The following is a 19,023-nucleotide window of genomic DNA, read 5'->3' on the forward strand; positions in this document are numbered from 1 at the left end:
TTACCAGAGCCCGGGCGGGCAGTGCCCCCCGGCTGGCCGGCTGCTGTCCCCGCGGTTCTCCGGGGCCGCCTCCCCGCGCCCGCGCCTGGGGCCCCCGTCCTCCTCCTCCTCCGCCGCCGCCTCCTCCTCCTCCTCGGGCTGCAGCCGGCTCGGCGGGCAGGTCCCGGCGCTCCCGGCGCGGGGCCGGGGCCGGGGGCGGCTGCTCCCCGCCGCCGACCGCTGCGCCCCCGCGGCGCTCCCCGGCCCCGGAGTCGAGGCTGCTGAAATTCCACACGACCAGCGTCTGCAGCAGCAGCACCGTGAGCGCCGCGAGCAGCGCCGAGTGCGAGCGCCGGGCCAGCCTCCGGGCGCACGGCGCCGCCACCATCTTCGGAGCGCGGCCGGCGAGCGAGGCGCGGGGACCCCGGCACGCTCCGGGCCGCCCCCGCGCTCCCCGCAGCTCCCGCGGCCGCCGGCTGCCGCTCGGGCTCCCGCTCGGGCCGCCGCCGCCGCCCCCCTCCCCACACCCCTGTCCCCGCTGGAGGGGAGGGTGATGGGGAAGGCGCCGGGGGGACGCGGGCCGAGGCGGAGAGGGCGGGGCCTGGGGGAGGAGCCGAGGGAGGAAAAGGAGGAGGGAAAGGAAGGGGGTGGGGGCGATCAGAGAAGACAGACACCCCTCAGGACGTAGTGGGAGTAGGATGGGGGGCGAGGGGGACAATTCCCAAGGCGGAAAAAGAGAGGCAGGGGCCGCGAAACAGGGGACCTTTGGTTGAGGGTGGGCCCGCTCAGAATCCAGGGGAGGTCAGGAAGAGAGGGGGTCCCGAGGTCCTGTTTTCCCTGTGGGCCGCTGGAAGGAGGCAGTGCGTGGAGGAAGCTCCTAGCCCCGGAGTTCGCGGTCCAGGGATCTTCTGTCGGTACCAGACCGGTTGGCAGGTGGACACGTGAGAAACATTTCAGGAGTGTCAGAGCCACAGTCTGATCCCTTCATCCTGGGCTTGAAGGGGTGGGGAGGAGGCTTTGGGTGAGTTTCTGGAGTTAATCAGCACAAGCTCTGTGAGTGACTCCTGAATCACACACAATCCCCGGTGCCAACGATGTACTAAGTGTTCACTGAGTCACTTCTCTGGTCCCTGAGGACTCACAAGCCAAGAGACTCCAAACCCAGTTGGCAAGTGGTATAGCGGCAAAAGGGAGACCCGTGGAGTTACTCAACCTTCGCAGGATGCAAGCCCCAAAGGCTGGCCCCGCAGCCTCCCAGCGTGTCCTTTTCCCCATCCATCCTGAAGTCCCCCTTCCTGTCTGCACAGGGCCCAGGTCCTGGGGAAACAGGTCTTGCTCTTGAAAGTGGAGTTCTTTCCCATCCTGACTGGTCTGTCCCGGTGACCTTGAGCCAGGAGGAGGAGGACTCCTCCCTGAGCCCAAGCTTTCTCCTCTGTCGTTTAGGCAGAATGATCCCAATGGACTCAAATTTCATCCCGAGCCTTCTCTGACTCAGTCTTTCTGGTTTTTCCCTCCCTTGTCCTCTTGCCCAGGGCTTTATACACAGCAGCGCAGAACAGTGAGCATATGGGATGGCGTTGGTGTCCCATACGGGACCTAGCACTCTGGGAATACAACAGCAGATCAAATCAGTTTGTGAATTGAGGACTTGGCGTGAATGCTTCGCATCTTGTCTGCTGTGCTTTTTCACCTCATCCTAATTTACAAAGAGAAGAAAGTGGAGTGTAATGAAGGCTCATCAGACAATGAGGCAGGGAGTGGGAAGAGATTGTTTCATCCACTCCACAAGCATCCGTGAATACAAAGCTTGTGTCAGACACTGGGCCAGGTGCACGCATCCAAAGGTGAATGAGGTTTAATCTCATCTTCAGCAAGCCTGAGGTCTAGAGAAGCCTGATGTGGATGTTAATCATTAAAATATAGTGAGATAGGCCTGGGCGCGGTGGCTCATGCCTGTAATCGCAGCACTTTGGGAGGCCAAGACAGGAGGATCACCTGAGGTCAGAAGTTCGAGATCAGCCTTGCCAACATGGTGAAACCCCGTCTCTACTAAAAATACAAAAATTAGCCGGGCATGGTGGCACACACCCCTGATCCCAGCTACTCAGGAGGCTGAGGCAGGAGAATCTCTTGAACCCAGGAGGCAGAGGCTGCAGTGAGCCGAGATCACACCACTGCACTCCAGCCTGGGTTACAGAGCAAGACTCCATCTAAAAAACGTATATATAAATATATATATATTGTATATATATATATTATATATAATGTATATAATAAATATATTATATATAATATATTTATATATATGTACATATAATATATATAATATATAATATATAACATATATATAATATATATATTTATATGTAAATATATATAATATTATATATATATATATGGTGAGATAAGCATTGCTGTAGAGATGTGCAAAAATGCTAAGGGTTCATGAGGGCAGGACGGGAGTAAGCGCCAAGAAAAAATGCTTTCTGAACCCATGTAATTAGCCAGTCCACTTGCCTGAACAAGAAAAGTATAAAATGTATGCTAGTGGGGGTTGTAAACTCCAAACCAATCAACCTTAGTTGTATCTAAAGCTTAGCCAGGCATGTAGCCTGGCATAGAGGCCTTCCCTTTGGGCCCAGCACCCCTAACCAGGAGTAAAAGACCAGAGGCAAGTTTCTAGGGCCACCAGTCATCTGTTTATCAGTTGGGGATATTTTGTTTACAAGCAATAACATCTATTACTAACAGTAATAAGACTTAAGTCTATCTTTTAAGTCTTTTTTTTTTTTTTTTTTTTGACACAGTCTCACTCCATCACCCAGCCTGGAGTGCAGTGGTGTGATCTCAGCTCACTCCAACCTCTGCCTCTTGGGTTCAAGTAATTCTCATGCCTCAGCCTCCCGAGTAGCTGGGATTACAGGCATGTGCCACCACGCCCAGCTAATTTTTTTTTTAGTACAGACGAGGTTTCACCATGTTGGCCAGGCTGATCTCAAACTCCTGACCTCAGGTGATCTGCCTGCCTCAGCCTCCCAAAGTGCTGGGATTACAGGCATCAGCCACTGTGCCCAGCCCGGTCTGTCTTAAAAATATACTTTACTGGATCATGTAGCTGAACATTGCAGAGGAAAGGCTTCAGGTGAGGTTTGATCTAGCAACTCACAATTATCACCTGGGATTCCTTTTCTTTCCATCTCTCCTCTCTGCTTTCCATGGAGTCTACCTTATTCCCTCTTGATGTCACACGATGCCTGGCCTCAGCTGCTGCGACTACTTTGTATCCTGTGTTCATTTCTAGCCCAGGGAAAGGAGGGTCAGTATTTCCCAGGATTTTCCTCAAAGGTTCGGAGATTTTTTTTCTGATTAGACCAGTCTTAAGTTCTGGGTCACTCCGAGACCAATCAGTGTGGCCAGGAAGTTAGAAAATGCCGATCAACTTGGCCAAGATCCCATATTTCACCTCCGCCATTGGGGTGAAGCCAGCCTCCCTGTAACAACTTGGATGCCCTATAGAGATCAGGGTCTGATGGGAAAGAAGTAGGTGCAGGGAACAGATTCCATCATTTATTCCACGCAGCCTCCCGAGGTTATATGACCTTGGCCAAGCCACCTCCCCTCCCAGGACTTAGATTTCTTTAGTGCCAAATGAGGGGTTGGAGGAGACAGCCCCCAAGATTTCACATGTTGCCAGAACGCTCTCTTAGTGTCTCAGCAGAGCTTCTCAACCCAGCAGAGGCTGCTCTGGAGCCTCTTGGCAACCCTGCCCTCTGGCTCATCTTTGCTTCAAGGTCTCTGGCCGCATTTTTCCCGTTAGCAGCAATGATGTTATCTGCTTCCTCCACATCTCACATTTAACCACAGTCCTTTGGGGCCCACCCTCTGGCTCCACTCCCTCAGGGGCCAGGGGCTTAAGGAGTGAGGTTAAGGATCTGGGCTCCAAGTCCCTGGAGAGAGAGTTGTTTGTTTATCTCAGACTTATAAAAAGCCATGCAAGAAAGAGGTTTAAAGGCTCCAGGCGGGTTATGGACGCCATAAACAGCTTATGTGATGGTTTTAGGATGAAAAATCACCCGAGATCGAAGAATAGGAAGGCAAGCTTCTGGGGTCACTGGAGCTGTCTTCCTGCACCTCAAGAATCTTTGGGTAAGGAGGTGAGACAAAGATGAGATCAGAACAGCGGGTGGCTTGGAGTGGGAGAAGGGCGTGAATTTTGACGAATCTGCAGTGCACATGTATCTCAGTACCAGGGGGCGCAGTTGGTTTGGGCAGTGCCAGAACCCCTGGGAGCAGGGGCCGGGCATCATGTCTTCTAAGCCAAACCAAGCAAAAGCAGCCACTTTGCATTCGAAGGGGCCCCGGCTTTGGCTTCCACTGTGGTGTAAAAGCGAGACAGGCAGAGCTTGATGTATAAGACAGAGCCGAAAGCACCGCCTGAGACTCCAGCGGCAGCCCTAGCAACAGCAGTGAGAGTCCTTAGAATTTTTAAAGCTCATTCAGTCATTCAACAAAGATGTATTGGACCCTATTATGTGCCGGACGTCATGCTGGGAAAGCAAACTATAGGCGTGTAGAAGATTTCCTAAGGAACTCTGCTCTTAAAATATCGTTCCTAATCTCACTTGACCAAGAGCCAGAGCTCTGAAGAAGCCCCAGACTGATCTGTGGGATTCCCTCCCCACCTCCACCCCAAATCTTGTTTCATCGCCATTTTCCAGTGAAGGGGGGAGTAAATCAGTTAATCAGTAGTTTTCAGCTCCTAGGTGTGCCCAGCACTGAGCTCGGGGCTGTGAGAGAAAGTGGAAGGCCAGGGGGAAAGGGTTCTTCTCTCTCAAGGAGCTGTCAGAAGAGGTCATGGGACAAGACAGGCGCGGGATGGGGTCAGAGGAGGGGGCAGCCACAGCGGAGTCAGTGTGCAAAATGGTTAAGAGTCAGATTTCCCAGGTTTACTCAGCTCTGCTACTTTTTGACTCGGATTTCTAAGTATCAGTTGTTTACCTCGAGGCCTCAGTTTTCTCATCTGTAAAATGAGGCTGATAAAAGGGCCATTCTCATAAGTTTCTTATAAGGATTCAATGAGATAATCCATAAGAAAGGCTTTTTCCTATAGTGACTGACACATAGTAAGTGCTCCGTAAATGTTAGATGATATGTGTCTTATTTATTTTTCTTCATTTATTTGAGACAGGTTCTCACTCTGTTGATCAGACTGGAGTGCAGGGGCACAATCATGGCTCACTGCAGCCTCAAACTCCCAGGCTCAAGCAATTGTTTGGCCTCAGCCTCTCAAGTAGCTGGGACTACAGGTGCACGTCACCACACCCACTAATTTTTTATTATTAATTTTTATTTTATTTATTAATTTTTATTTATTTTGTTATTAGTTTTTATTAGTAACAGTAGGGCACTGCCAATTATGAGTGTCCAAAGGTATCCAGGGCTGCCTGGAGAAAGTAGCACTAAAACCTCATCCTCGACTTTGATAGAAGATTGCACATACCCCCAAGGGTTAGGACCAAGTCTCATTCATCTCTACTTTTTCTGGTGCTTTGCACAGTGCAGGGCACTGAATACATTTTGGGGGTGGAATGAACACTGATCTATGGGGCAGGTAGGAATGAGCCTGGGATGCTGGCAGGTTGGAACCCCATGCTTAGAAGTTCAAGGAACCCAAGTTCAAACACCATCTCGGCAACTTGTTAGTTGTGTGATGTTAAGCAGGTTAGTTAATGTCACCAAACCTCGATACTCTCAACTGTAAGTAGTGAAGAAAAATAATACGTATGTTTTAAGGCTGGGGGGTTGGAGGCAGGGAAATGGGGCAGTGTATATAGCAGAGTGTCATACAGTTTATACAAAATGATAGCACCGGCCAATAGCAGTGTTGAAGGAATATTAGCCTGGTTGCATTGGCAGGGTGGTCTGTAAAGCAATGTTCTCCCCTTGCCTCAATGCTCCTGCCCCAGGTGCCAGAGAGCTAGGGCTGGATATGCCTTCTGCATTTAAATAAACTTCAGCCTAAGAGTTAAATTTAGCCAAATACATTCTTTTTTAAAATTTCGATCATGCATTTATTTCTTTTTGGTTTATTAGAGCCTGTTTTCACCCAGACTCTACAAATTTTGCTCTTGAAAAATTAAAAAATTCCCCCTACGTTTCACTTCTGCGTTGAGACAGAAATCATGAACAGGTGGGTCACCTGTTTCTGAGTGTCAGTGAGTGGTACGCTGAACACCCTCCCAGCCCACTAGGAATCCCAGAGTCTCTCCAATAAGCATTTGCAAGTGCAAGGATTCCACGTGGAGGTCAGAGGAGCCAGGACCTTGAACGTCCCTGGAGCCCCACCCACAGCATGCGAGGTCACAGACAGACAGGCATCACCTGTACCTCTTTCCCCAGTGCAAGAGAAAGAAACAGCCTCTGATCAGACCACAGGCATAGGCAGGTGACAAACCCCGCCAGGAGCCCAGCTGTGCTTCTGCTGAAATCCGCAGGCTTCCAGGCTAATCATCTACCCAATGCATCAGCAGAGGGAGCTCTAGGTAGTAAATAACATTCCTCTGACTGCAGAGTTTCCTGTAAAAAAAATCTGGAGACAGCAAAGGAAAGCGAGGTCCTATGTGGAGAGGGCACCTACCATGTGTGCAGAAGAAAATCACACCAATTTGCAAGAGTAGGGTGTTGGGGCAGGAGTGGGAGATGGGAAAGAGAGAAGAAAATCAGAAAGCACCACATTGCTTAAGAGATGATCTGAATTTGTTTTGTCTCAGCACTTTGACCTTCTAAGGACTCACAGCCTCTATGCTACCCTTGCAAGGCTCTGATGTTTGAAAAGGGGACGCAGTCCAAGTCTCAGACTACACTGGCAGACATTTTTTTTCTTTAAATGTTGATTGTGGGCTGGGCGTGGTGGCTCATGCCTTGTAATTTCAGCAGTTTGGGAGGCCGAGGCAGGTGGATCGCTTGAGGCCAGGAGTTTGAGACCAGCCTGGCCAACATGACGAAACCCCATCTCTACTAAAATGACAAAAATTAGCCGGGGATGATGGTGCATGCCTGTAGTCCCAGATACTTGGAAGGTGGTGGTCACAATGAGCCAAGATTGTGCCACTGCACTCCAGCCTGGGCGACAAAGCAAGACTCCATCTTAAAAAAAAAAAAAAAAAAAAAGTTGATTATATGTGTTATGGGTGCCTAATCTAACCCCTGGGGCCATAGGCTTATTTATGACTGTGGCAATGACAAGGATGACAATGATGACGATGACGGCAATAAGAGCGAACATTTATTGAGCACTTACTAGGTGCCAAGCCGTATATTGAGGACTTCAACAAATCATATTCACCAAATATTTGTTGAGAATTGATTCAATACTTAGGACAGTGTTCATGCCAGGGATTCATGGGAATTCATCCACGGATAAGACACAGAAAGTCCCTCCTGTCATCAAGCTTGCATTCTAAGGAGGCAGACAGGTCAAGACAAACAAATATATAAACAAGTAATATCAGAGAGTGATAAGTGCTATGAAAAAAATAAAAAGAGGCTGAGCATGGTGGCTCACGCCTATAATCCCAGCACTTTGGGAGGCTGAGGCGAGGCGGGAGGATTGCTTGAGTCCAGGACTTTGAGACCAGCTTGGGCAACATAGCCAGACCTCTTTTCTACAAAGAAAAATAATTTAAAAATTAGGGTTGGTAGTGCTCACCTGTAGTCCTAGCTACTTGATTCTTTGTGCCCAGAAGTTCAAGACTACAGTGAGCTAGATTGCACCACTGCACTCCAGCCTGGGTGTCAGATAAAGACCCTGTCTCAAAAAAAAAAAAAAAAAAAAAAAAAGAAAGAAAGAAAAAGAAAAGGAAGCTGACTTGCTAGAGTGACTAAAATAGGACAAGGGGAAACAGGCTGGTCAGGGCAGACCTTACCCAGACAATGACACTGGAGTGTTGATAACCTTCTCAAGAAATGTGACTGTTTAACAACTCTTACTCCATTTATGCATCAAGCATCATCTACTGACTGAACAAATAACTGTAGATCCATTTTTCAAATGTGTGATATATAAATGATGCTAAATTCATTGTCATTCTTTGGGCATTTTGGATTTTCTTAAAGTGATTAGTAATAACTATTTGCATGGTCATGATGGGAGCTATGGAATGGGTTAGGAAAAAGTTCACCAAAAAAGAAAAGAGTTAAAAATATCCATCTCACCAAAGAAGAATTGAGAGCAACTAATGTATTAGATCTCAAATATTTTTGGTCCAAATACTTTTTTAATTTCTTAACTTTACCCTCCTCACCCCTCTCAAAGGTTCTGTATGCCACAGATGTTTCTATTTAGCCCCTGTATCTTTAAGTCGGCAGGCTGAGCCCCGTAGTCCCCAAATCACCTCTCCCATCTTGTTTGTAGCTTCTTCTCTGCACCCCAATGTCAACCCATCCTGCACCTATTGCTATTTCTCTCTGTGTCTCTCAAATCTCTTTTACCTGAACCCCTAAGAATTCTATTCCACAAGGGCTAAGTGTACGGTGTTGGGGGCGGGAGTGGGAGATGGGGAGGAGGGAAGAAAATCAGAAAGCACCACATTGCTTAAGAGATGATCTGACTTTGTTTTGTCCCAGCACTTTGACCTTCTGAGGACTCACAGCCTCTGTGCTTCCCTTACAAGGCTCTCCTTGCACCTGCCCTCTAAGAACTCTATTCCACAAGGAAAACAGAAGTTCACTGGAAGCCTGTTTGATATGCCAGAGTCTGTTAGCTGCTTCTCAAATACCCATTCTTCCTTTCCTGTTTGGTCAAGAATTCTGATTTTAGTTGGGGTGACAATGAGCCCAAACCAAAAGCAACGGTTCTTAGCCTTCCTGTAAGTTAGGAGTGATCGGAAAGAAGACAGCAGATACAATTGGTAGAGCTCCCAAGAAATCCTTTGGGGTGGGAGGGAAGATCCTAAATAAGTTGGGATTGAGTTCCCTTTGTGCCTTGCCATTCCCATTGTTTTTTTTCTATTCTTAACTTCAGACAGGGTCTCACTCTGTCACCCCAGCTGGAGTGCAGTGGTGCAATCTCGGCTCACTGCAGCCTCGACCTCCCAAGCCCAAGCAATTCTCCTGCCTCAGCCCCCCAAGTAGCTGGGACACAGGCACCTGATACCACATCTAGTTTTTGTATTTTTAGTAGAGATGGGGGTCTCGCCCTGTTGCTCAGTCTGATCTCTAACTTCTGAGCTCAAGCAATCTGCCCACCTCAACTTCCCAAACTGTTAGGATTACAGGCATGAACCATGGTGCCCAGCCATCATTCCCATTCTTTTGGACTGGAATGTAGAAAGGATAGCTGGAGCTCCAGCAGCCATCTTGTGACCATGAGGACAGAGGCCAGTACTACAGGTGGTGAGCCAGAAAGAAAGAAACAGCTTGGGTTCCTGGTGCTCTGCTGTCTCCGGCCCATCCTTAGACTTTTCTTCACACCCAAGAATGAGCCCCATATTAGTTGGAGCCACTCAGGCTGGGTTTCTGTCTCTATAGCTGGTACGATGACGTGTCTGATAGAATGAAACAGTCTAACTGAAAGAAGCTCAGGGATAGAGGTGGGATTTGGGAAGAGCTGGAACCAGGGACCCAAACACAGAAGTCACCCGCTTTATCTCTTGCTCTGCTTCCTTCTGCCTGCTTGATTAATTCTCCCTCCTGGCAGAACAATGCTGTCCACATGGTAAGAAGCATAACTGCCACAGCTCCTGAGTGCCACACTGTACAGCCTCCATAAAGGGACAGGTTCTCCCTCTAAGGCCATGAGCCGCAAGCGGGTCCTCAATGCTGTCTCATTCGCTGCATTTTGCTGGTCTTGTCACTCTCCCAGGCATGAAGCCACCAGCTCTCTCTCCCCTCCTGCCTCTGACTTTCCTCCTTCCCCACTTGCCTGAGGACCTTGCTTCCCAGGTTGACAAGGGAGGGGGAAGGAAGCTTCCCACCAAGCTCCTGCCATTTAATTTCCCCACTTTTCTACATCGGTGTCGCGGACTGTTTTTGTGAATGAACTTTCTAGGCTCCAGGTCGAGACCCACTCCTCCATCTGCCAAAGAGACCCCACCTTGTCTTACCTATCTGCGGACATCACTCCAACACTTCCATTTTCTCCTTCCTTTATCATCAGTTCTTCCTCCCGAGAGCAGCATTTCCTCTAGCATTTGAATTCCCTGGTATTTCTCTGGTTAAAAACAAAAGTTCTGACCAGGCGTGGTGGCTCATGCCTGTAATCACGCACTTTGGGAGGCTGAGGCGGGCGGATCACCTGAGGTCAGGAATTTGACACCAGCCTGATCAACGTGGTGAAACCCTGTCTCTACTAAAAATACAAAATTAGCTGGGCATGGTGGCACATGCCTGTAATCCCAGCTACTTGGGAGGCTGAGGCAGGAGAACTGCTTGAACCTAGGAGGCGGAGGTTGCGGTGAGCTGAGATTCGGCTGAGCTGAGATTGCACCATTGCACTCCAGCCTGGGCAACAAAAGCGAAACTCCATCTCAAAAACCATAAAATAAAAAATGTTCTCTCCTGGCCCCACAGCCCTCTATAGCTTCGATCTCGTGTTTCTCTTTCTTTTGCAGGAAAACTCCTCAAAAGCATTGTCTAGCTCACCGTATCTCCAATTCTTCCCTTTCCATCTTCTCCTAAGCCCTTCTAACACACACACACACACACACACACACACACACACACACACACACGCTACTCTTAAGCTCATCAGTGACCTCATTACCAGATTCAATAGTTACTTAGCCTAATGCAACAAAGGTCACAGTTGTCCCTTCCTTCCTCCTTATTTATTTCTTTGGCTTCCAGGATGCTGCTCTCTGGGTTCGCTCCTATCTCACAGCTGTTCCTTCTCAGCCTCTTTGGTTAATCCCTTCTCTTCCAGCTGTCCTCTCCCCTTCCTTACCCCAATTTTCTGTGCTGGCTTTTCCCAGGCTTTAATTCCATAGCTTTTCTTCTCCACCATCCAGATGCATGGCTATAAAGAAATCCTCTAATTCACATGTTTATATTTCCAGCCTGTACTCCTCCCCAAACTCCAAGTTCATGCACTCAGTTGCTCACCCAGCATCGCCACTTGGATGTCTAATAGACATCTCTGTCAAGAACTGAAAAAGGGGCTGGGGATTTGACCCTACTTGCAAACTAACAAGGTATTCTGCCATAGCTTCATGAATTCCAGCAGAAGACATGAGACTCCTGGATCAGAGACAAAAGATCCTATTACCCACCTCATAGCAGGCAGCATGAGCTTCATGTTTGCATCAGTTCCCTCCCTGCATCCCCCACCAAGTCTCTGGGGTGGTACAGAGGGGGTCAAGGCAGATGCTCTACACATGACTGAGAAACCTGGAGTTTTGAAAAACTCTGTATTTTATAATGAGCTGCAAGCAAATCTGCTCAACCTTTGCCCCAGAGGGAGACATTATCTTTATTAGCCTGAATAGCAAACAAATCTGCCCTCTGCCCAGAAGGGAGACACTATCTCTGCCTACTAAGGCTGTTCACAATACAAATATGAAGTTTATATGCCTTTTGATGTCTTGAAAAGGTCATCCGGAGGCCAGGCATGGTGGCTCATGCCTGTAATGCCAGCACTTTAGGAGGCCAAGGCAGGCCGATCACTTGAGCCCAGGAGTTCAACATCAGCCTAAGCAACATGGAGAAACCCCATCTCTACAATAAATACAAAAATTAGCTGTGGCCAGACATGGTGGCTCACACCTGTAATCCCAGCACTTTGGGAGGCCGAGGTGGATGGATCACCTGAGGCCAAGAGTTCAAGACCAGCCTGGTCAACATGGCAAAACCCCGTCTCTAGAAAAAAATACAAAAAAAGTAGTCAGGCTTGGTGGCGGATGCCTGTAATCCCAGCTACCTGGGAAGCTGAGGCAGGAGAATCACCTGAACCCAGGAGTTGGAGGTTGTAGTGAGCCGAGATTGCCCCACTGCACTCCAGCCTGGGCAACAGAGAGAGACTCCATCTCAAAAAAAAAAAAAAAAAAAAATTAACTGGAAGTGGTGGCTGTGCCCGTAGTCCTAAATACTCAGGAGGCTGAGGTGAGAGGATGGCTTGAGCCCGGAAGGCGGAGGTTACAGTGAGCCAAGATTGCACCACTGCATTCCAGCCAAGGTGACAGAGTCAGACCCTGTCTCCAAAAAAAAAAAAAAAAAAAAAAGTCATCCAGAATAGAAAGCCACAATGTGCAGAAATATAAACAGCCCATGGAGAATTATTTCCTAACAGTATTAAACTTATCATATCCAAAATGGAATTCTTGAACTTCCTTCCCAGCTCATGCCACCAAAAGCTTTTCCATATCAAGAGCTTTCAGTCATCACAGCTCCTGTCTTTTGCTCGTAATACGCACCCAATTCATCAGCAAATCCTGTTGGCTTCATGTTCAAAATATTTCCCAAATCAGATTACATCTCACTGTCCCCATGGCCATCACTTAGGTCCAAGCCACATTGTCTCTCCCTTGATTCCGCAGTCACCTCCTAATTCACAGCCCTGCCTCCAACCTTGCTCTGTTCTCTCCACAGCAGCCAGAGAAAACCTGATTAAACTTAGCTGCAGTGTTGTCATTCATTAGTTAACAGCAACATCAAGGGGATCCTCATTTCTCTTAGAAATAAAGCCAGTGTTCCTATAAGAGCCTGCATGGCCCCCACCATCCAGCCCCCAGCATCTCTCTCACCTGCACAAGCTATTTTCCTGCCCTTTCCTCACACCCTTCCATCACCCTGGTTTCCTTTCAGTTTCTTAAATACGCCAGGCAGGTGCTCACCTGGCGGCATTGCCCTGGTTTTTCATTATGTCTGGAATGCTGTGCACCCAGATATCTGCCTGTCTCCCTCCCTTACCTTGTCTCCCTGCCTTTTTCAAGCTTCTGAAGAAGGTGTCATCTTCTAGTTACAGTAGTTAGCTAGTCAGACATGAACAGGGCAGGAGAGGGCTCCTCCCCCACCACTAGGAATGTCAGGCAACCATGGTCAGGCAGCTGTTAACTGTCTCTCTAAAATAATAATTGGTTGCAGTCAGCACCAGGGAAAGGCAGTTTCCCAATGAACAGAAATACCTGAAACTGGTGATCAGCAGCTTCCCGATAAGATCTCAAGAGTTGGGCAAGTAGGTTCAAGCATGCACACTAAGAGGCAAAATGGCAGAGTTTAACTGGTATATGACCTCCTGGGGACATCTGACTGGTAAGGGAAGAACGCTTTAACTGAGCATGCGTACAACTCCAGGAAGCACACTCAGCATGCTTCTCTCCAGGCCACTGCTCCAGGTAACATCCTGCCCCAAGGGAAGAATCAGGGGAGAAGGGACGCAAGACCCCAGAAGCATGCCAGTGTATGACCCCAAGTCAAAGGTCAAACAGCGCACTTTATCTCTCAAGTCGCCTGCTTGGTCCTCTTCCAAGTATACCATTTTTTGTTTCATTCCTGCTCTAACGCTTTTTTTTTTTTTTTTTTGAGTTGGAGTCTCGCTCTGTTGTCGCCCAGGCTGGAGTGCAGTGGCTTGATCTTGGCTCACTGCAACCTTCCCTTCCTGGGTTCTAAGTGATTCTCCTGCTTCAGCCTCCCAAGTAGCTAGAATTACAGGCATGCACCACCACACTCAGCTAATTTTGTATTTTTAGTAGAGACGGGGTTTCACCATGTTGGCCAGGCTGGTCTCAAACTCCTGACCTCAGGTGATCCACCTGCTTTGGCCTCCCAAAGTGCGGGGATTACAGGCGTGAGACACCACGCCCAGCCATTCCTGCTCTAACACCTTTTTTTTTTTTTTTTTTTTGGAGACTGAGTCTCTCTGTCACCAGGTTGGAGTGCAGTGGCATGATCTCAGCTCACTGCAACCTCTGCCTCCCAGGTTCAAGCGATTCTCCTGTCTCAGCCTCCCGAGTAGCTAAAATTACAGGCACCCGCCACTACGCCCAGCTAATATTTTGTATTTTTAGTAGAGATGGCGTTTCACCATGTTGGCCAGGCTGGTCTCAAACTCCTGACCTCATGATTTGCCCGCCTCAGCCTCCCAAAGTGCTATGATTACAGGCATGAGCCACCGTACCCGGCCTCTAACACTTTTTAATAAACTTTCACTGCTGCTCTGAAACTTGCCTCAGTCTCTCCTTCTGCCTTATGCCCCTCAGTTGAATCCTTTCTTCCGTGGAGGCAAGAATTGAGGTTGCTGCAGACCCGTATGAATTCATCGCCAGTAACATTCTCATTTAAGCCTTTCCCAACTATCGCAGTGGAATCACAGTGCCTCAGCCAGCACCCCCAATTGCCTTGACTTTGTTTTATTGGTCTCCGAGCACTGACCACCTTGTTCACTTATTCTATTTATTGTTGTCTGTCTGTCTGACCCCATTAGATTATAAAGCCCATGAGGGCAAGGTTTTGTCTGCTTTGCTTACTGCTTAGTGCTTGGCACATGGTAAGAGCTTGATTAATGTTTGTTGATGAATTGAAGTTGAAGTCAGAGTCCAAAGACATTGCAGAAAACAGCATTGATTATCCTGCCTCACCTGGGGCGCAATGACTGGAGTTACAGGAAAGGGGTCACATAAGAAGACAGAGAAGGATCCGGTGTGGTGGCTCACGCCTGTAATCCCAGCACAACAGGAGGCTGAGGTGGAAGTATGGCTTGAGCCCAGGGGTTCAAGACCAGCCTGGGCAACATAGAAAGACCCTGTCTCTACAAAAAATTTTTATTTTTTTATTTTTTTAAAAACTTTAAGTCCTGGGATACATGTGCTGAACATGCAGGTTTGTTACATAGGTATACATGTGCCATGGTGGTTTGATGTACCTATCAACGCAGCATCTAGGTTTCAAGCCCCGCATGCATTATGTATTTGTCCTAATGCTCTGCCTCCCCTTTCCCTCCACCCCCCGATAAGCCCGGGTGTGTGATGTTCCCCTCCCTGTGTCCATGTGTTCTCGTTGTTCAACTCCCACTTATGAGTGATAACATGTGGTGCTTGGTTTTCTGTTCCTACATTAGTTTGCTGAGGATGATGGTTTCCAACTTCATTCATGTCCCTGCAAAGAACGTGAACTCATTCTAGCTGGGTGTGGTGGCTGTGCACCTGCAATCCTGCTACTCCAGGAGGCTAAAGTGGGAGGACTGCTTGAGCCTGGGAGGTCGAGGCTGCAGTGAGACATGATCATGCCACTGAACTCCAGCCTGGGCAACAGAGGGTCTCTAAAACAAAAAACAAAAAACAAAACAAAACAAAAAAAGCAAAAAAGAGGAAGAAGAAGAAATGAGAACCTATGTTAACCATGTAATGAAAAAGCCACTGGCAAGAAGGGGAGACACCAACTGTGCTGTTGATGTCGGAGGCAGGGCAACAGTGGGGGAACAAGACCCTGGACCCAAACCACTTGGGTTTGAATCTCCCATGTACTTCTTACTAACTCTGGTGTGTTGGAGAGATTGTTTCATTTTCTCCTTTCTTTTTCATCTGCAAAACTGGGGGAACACGGTACTCTCCTCCTGCGATTGTCAGGGGGCTTAAATATATGAATTAATGTTAAAAAGCACTCGAAGTAGCACTCAGCACATAGTAACATCAAATACAAGATCTGAAAACTGTTAGAAAAACAATGAGAACTTGATAAAAGAAATACATATATATTTGAAGAAATCAATATGCTTCTTTTCCATAGCAGGTAGATAAATAGAAAGAAAAATCAGTAAGGACATAGAGAAATTGCACACTGCAACCTACAAACTCAATTTAATAGATACATAGAGAAACACTTACCTTAACAGAAAGTAAATATTATCTTCTAATATCCACGGAATCTGTCATATACCTAAACATAAAGTAAACCTCAACAAATAAAATAAAAAAGATTTTTCTCAAGCCAGATTCTCCCTAATCATAATCCAATATTATAAATATTTTATTTTATTTGTTTTAATAACTTAAAAAGTGAGAAACACCACCCTAGATAATGGAATTTAATCTTTTTTAGAAGAGCAATAAATAAGAGAATATCACAAAATCAACAGAATACAACAAAAGCTATAGTCAGAGGAAAATTAATAGACTGCAAAACCTTCATTATAAAGAATGACTAATAAGACAATGAAGAAATGTATGAGCCCAGAGGTTACAATAAGAAAATAAAAGAAATTCTCCATAAAAAATAATAATGACAGAAACTGAATGTAATGAAATGGAAAGCACAAACAACAGCAGAAAGTAAAAAATCAACTCAAAAACTCATTTTTTGAAACACCAGATTAAACCCCTGGCAAGTCTGATTTAGAAAAAAAATAAATAAATAAAAATAAAAGTATAGCTATGTAAAAAAGAAAACTTAGCCAAAATCACAGAAGTAAAGGAAAATTGAAGAGAATATCACGTGCAATTCTATGCCAATACATTTGATAACCTGGATTAAGTGGCTAATTTCTTGGGAAAAAAATAAACATTAAAAATGGCCCAAGACAAGGCAGAAAACTTGGAGAAACCGATGACCAGAAAGAGATGGAAAATTTACCAGATCAGAGAGGTTCAAAGCTGAGTTGTATATAACCTTATGTGTAATAAAAAGGATTGCTCCAATGTTACTTATTCCAAGTTGTACACAGTTGTTCTCAGACTTGACTGCATGGTGGAGTCACCCAGTGAGATTTTTAAAACTAATGATGTCCAAATCCCACCCCAAGAAATATCTATTCAACTGGTGTGGGCTGTGCCAGCTATCAGCATCTTGAAACAGTTCTCCAGGTGATACAAATGTGCAAGCCAAATGTTAAATCAAGTGTAGCCTAAAGCTGTCTTCTTATGTATTCAAGTTTGGCCTAAAGGTTTTTCTGTATCTGCTGAACTATAGCAAGTGGAGGTGTAAACAGACCATAGCCTCCGCTTGTGACAATCACTGAGTTTTGGCCAATCAAATGTAGCCAACTGTTTGAACCATGTTCAAATAAGGCAAACACGAGCTGTAACCAATCCAGCTGTTTCTGTACCTCACTTCCATCTTCTGTACATCACTTGTCTTTTTCTGTCCACAAACCTTCTTCCATCCCCTGGCTGTGCTGGAGTCTCTGAGCCTACCCTGGCTGGGAAGGCTGCCCAATTCACCAGTCGTTCATGGATCAATTAAACTCCTTTAAATTTAATTTGCCTGAAGTTTTTCCTTTATCACAAGGTTGCTAGCCCCTGCCATAGAAAGGAATGCAGAGCTTTTCAATTAAAAAACAAAAACAAAAAACAAAACAAAAAAACCCCTCAGTTCTGGTAAAGATAGCACCAGGAAAGAAAACTATAAGTTAACTTTACTTATGAAAAAAAATGAATCTTTTGAATAAACTACCAGCATCAAAGGAATAATGTGTTATGACCAAGCAGTTTATTCCAGGAATTTAAGTCTGGGTTGAATCAGGTAAGGTATCAACATAATCCACCAGTTCCATTACTCTGTTAAAGATGAAGCTGAGAAACCATTTGATTACACTTGGGAGTCATTCTTAAGAAATCACCAAGTAAACCATTAATAGAAGGAAATTAAGTATAATGCAGGCTAACGAACAAAAAATTACTCAAAATGGCAAAAATTAAATCTTAATGCATTTAAAAGTTCTTGTAAATGCATTAAGATAAGAAAACAAAATAATCTGTAAGTATTGCAAAAGAAAAACTAAAACTCTCTTTTTGCTGTTGGTTTGCTTGTATACTATATTAGAGTTCTACATAGATACCAAACCAATAGGATATAAATATAGATAGATATGGATACAGATATATGAGATGGGGCTTTATTAGCGGCATTAGCTCCGATGATAATGGAGGCTAAGTCTCAGGACAGGCTGTCTGTAGGCCGGAAAGCCTAGGATGCCAGTAGCCTGGCTCCATTCAAGTCCAAAGCCTCAGTGTCAGAAAAGCCAGTGGTGTAACTCAGTCCAAGGTCAAAGGCCTGAAATGAAAGGGGCATTGAGTAAGTCATGAAGTCCCAAGGCCAGACACCCTGGAGTTCTGATGTTGAAGGGCAGGAGGAAAGTGGCCCACCTCCATGAGAGAGAGAGAGGAGAGGAGGTATATTAGTCTGTTCTCATGCTGCTAATAATGACATACCTGAGACTGAGTAATTTATAAAGGAAAGAAAGGAAAGGGGTTTAATGGATTCACAGTTCCACATGGCCGGGGAGGCCTCACTATCATGGTGAAGGCAAGGAAGGGCAAATCACGTCTTACACAGCAGCAGGCAAGAAAGAGCTTGTGCAGGGGAACTCCAATTTATAAAAGCATCATATTTCATGGACTTATTCACTACCATGAGAACAGTATGGGGGACACCACCCCCATGATTCAATTATCTCCACCTGGCCCCACCCTTGACACATCTGGATTATTACAATTCTAGGTGAGATTTGGTTGGGGACACAGCCAAACCATATCAGAAGGAGAGGAGGAGAGTGTTACCTTCTCCAGGAGAGACTGTCCGTTTCTCCAATAAAAGGAGAGGAAATTCTTTCCTTTCTCATATTTTGTTCCACCTGTGCTCCCCACTGATTGGATGGTGCCTGCACACTTGGAGGGTAGATCCTCCCCAATGAATCTACTGACTCACATGCCAGCCTCCTCTGGAAGCACCTTCATAGACATTCCAAAAGCAATGCTTTATCAGTTCTCTAGGCCTTCCTTAATCCATTCAAGGGTAACCTAAAATTTATCATGACATATACTAAAGAAACCTAATAGACTCTAGTAAAAAACAAACGAACAAACAAAAACCCTACTACAATCAATAAGAATTTGTAAAGGAACTGGAAACAGTAGAATTATACAAATATTAATAACCTTTCTCTATACCAGCAGTAAGAACCTTGAAATAGATATGGCAGGAAATTAGATGGAAAAATATTCTAGTTACAATAGCATGAACTATAAAATAACTTGGGACCACTTAAGAAAAAAGACTTGGGAATTATAGGAAAACTATTTGTAAAGTAATGCCCAAAAATCTCATTGAATTTCATAA

General features: G+C 46.1%; 1 protein-coding gene and 1 long non-coding RNA gene across 4 annotated transcripts in view, besides 1 other annotated feature; both read right to left on the reverse strand.

Annotated features, from left to right (window-relative positions):
* Positions 1 to 531, reverse strand: part of XYLT1 (xylosyltransferase 1) — a 369,192-nt gene extending 368,661 nt beyond the window's left edge. For all 3 annotated transcript variants that reach the window (XM_047434458.1, NM_022166.4, XM_017023539.3), the window contains exon 1: positions 5 to 531. In XM_047434458.1, the coding sequence (XP_047290414.1) occupies positions 5 to 367 (363 nt within the window). In that variant the 5' untranslated portion in view covers positions 368 to 531. The remainder of the gene's footprint in view (positions 1 to 4) is intronic.
* Positions 525 to 1,026: an enhancer, noted in NCBI's record as "H3K4me1 hESC enhancer chr16:17564811-17565312 (GRCh37/hg19 assembly coordinates)". NCBI's record gives its function as "activates a minimal SCP1, AML or CMV promoter by ChIP-STARR-seq in naive H9 embryonic stem cells {active_cell/tissue: H9 hESC(naive)}" and the evidence as "EXISTENCE:reporter gene assay evidence [ECO:0000049][PMID:30033119]".
* Positions 578 to 13,260, reverse strand: LOC105371106 (uncharacterized). Its single transcript, XR_933144.3, has 3 exons — positions 13,098 to 13,260; positions 10,083 to 10,189; positions 578 to 1,675 (listed from the first exon to the last, which is right to left on the reverse strand). It is a non-coding gene; the product is annotated as an uncharacterized LOC105371106 (long non-coding RNA).
* Positions 13,261 to 19,023: the final 5,763 nt, after the last annotated feature.

This window comes from Homo sapiens, chromosome 16 (genome assembly GCF_000001405.40).
Source record: "Homo sapiens chromosome 16, GRCh38.p14 Primary Assembly".
NCBI lineage: Eukaryota > Metazoa > Chordata > Mammalia > Primates > Hominidae > Homo > Homo sapiens.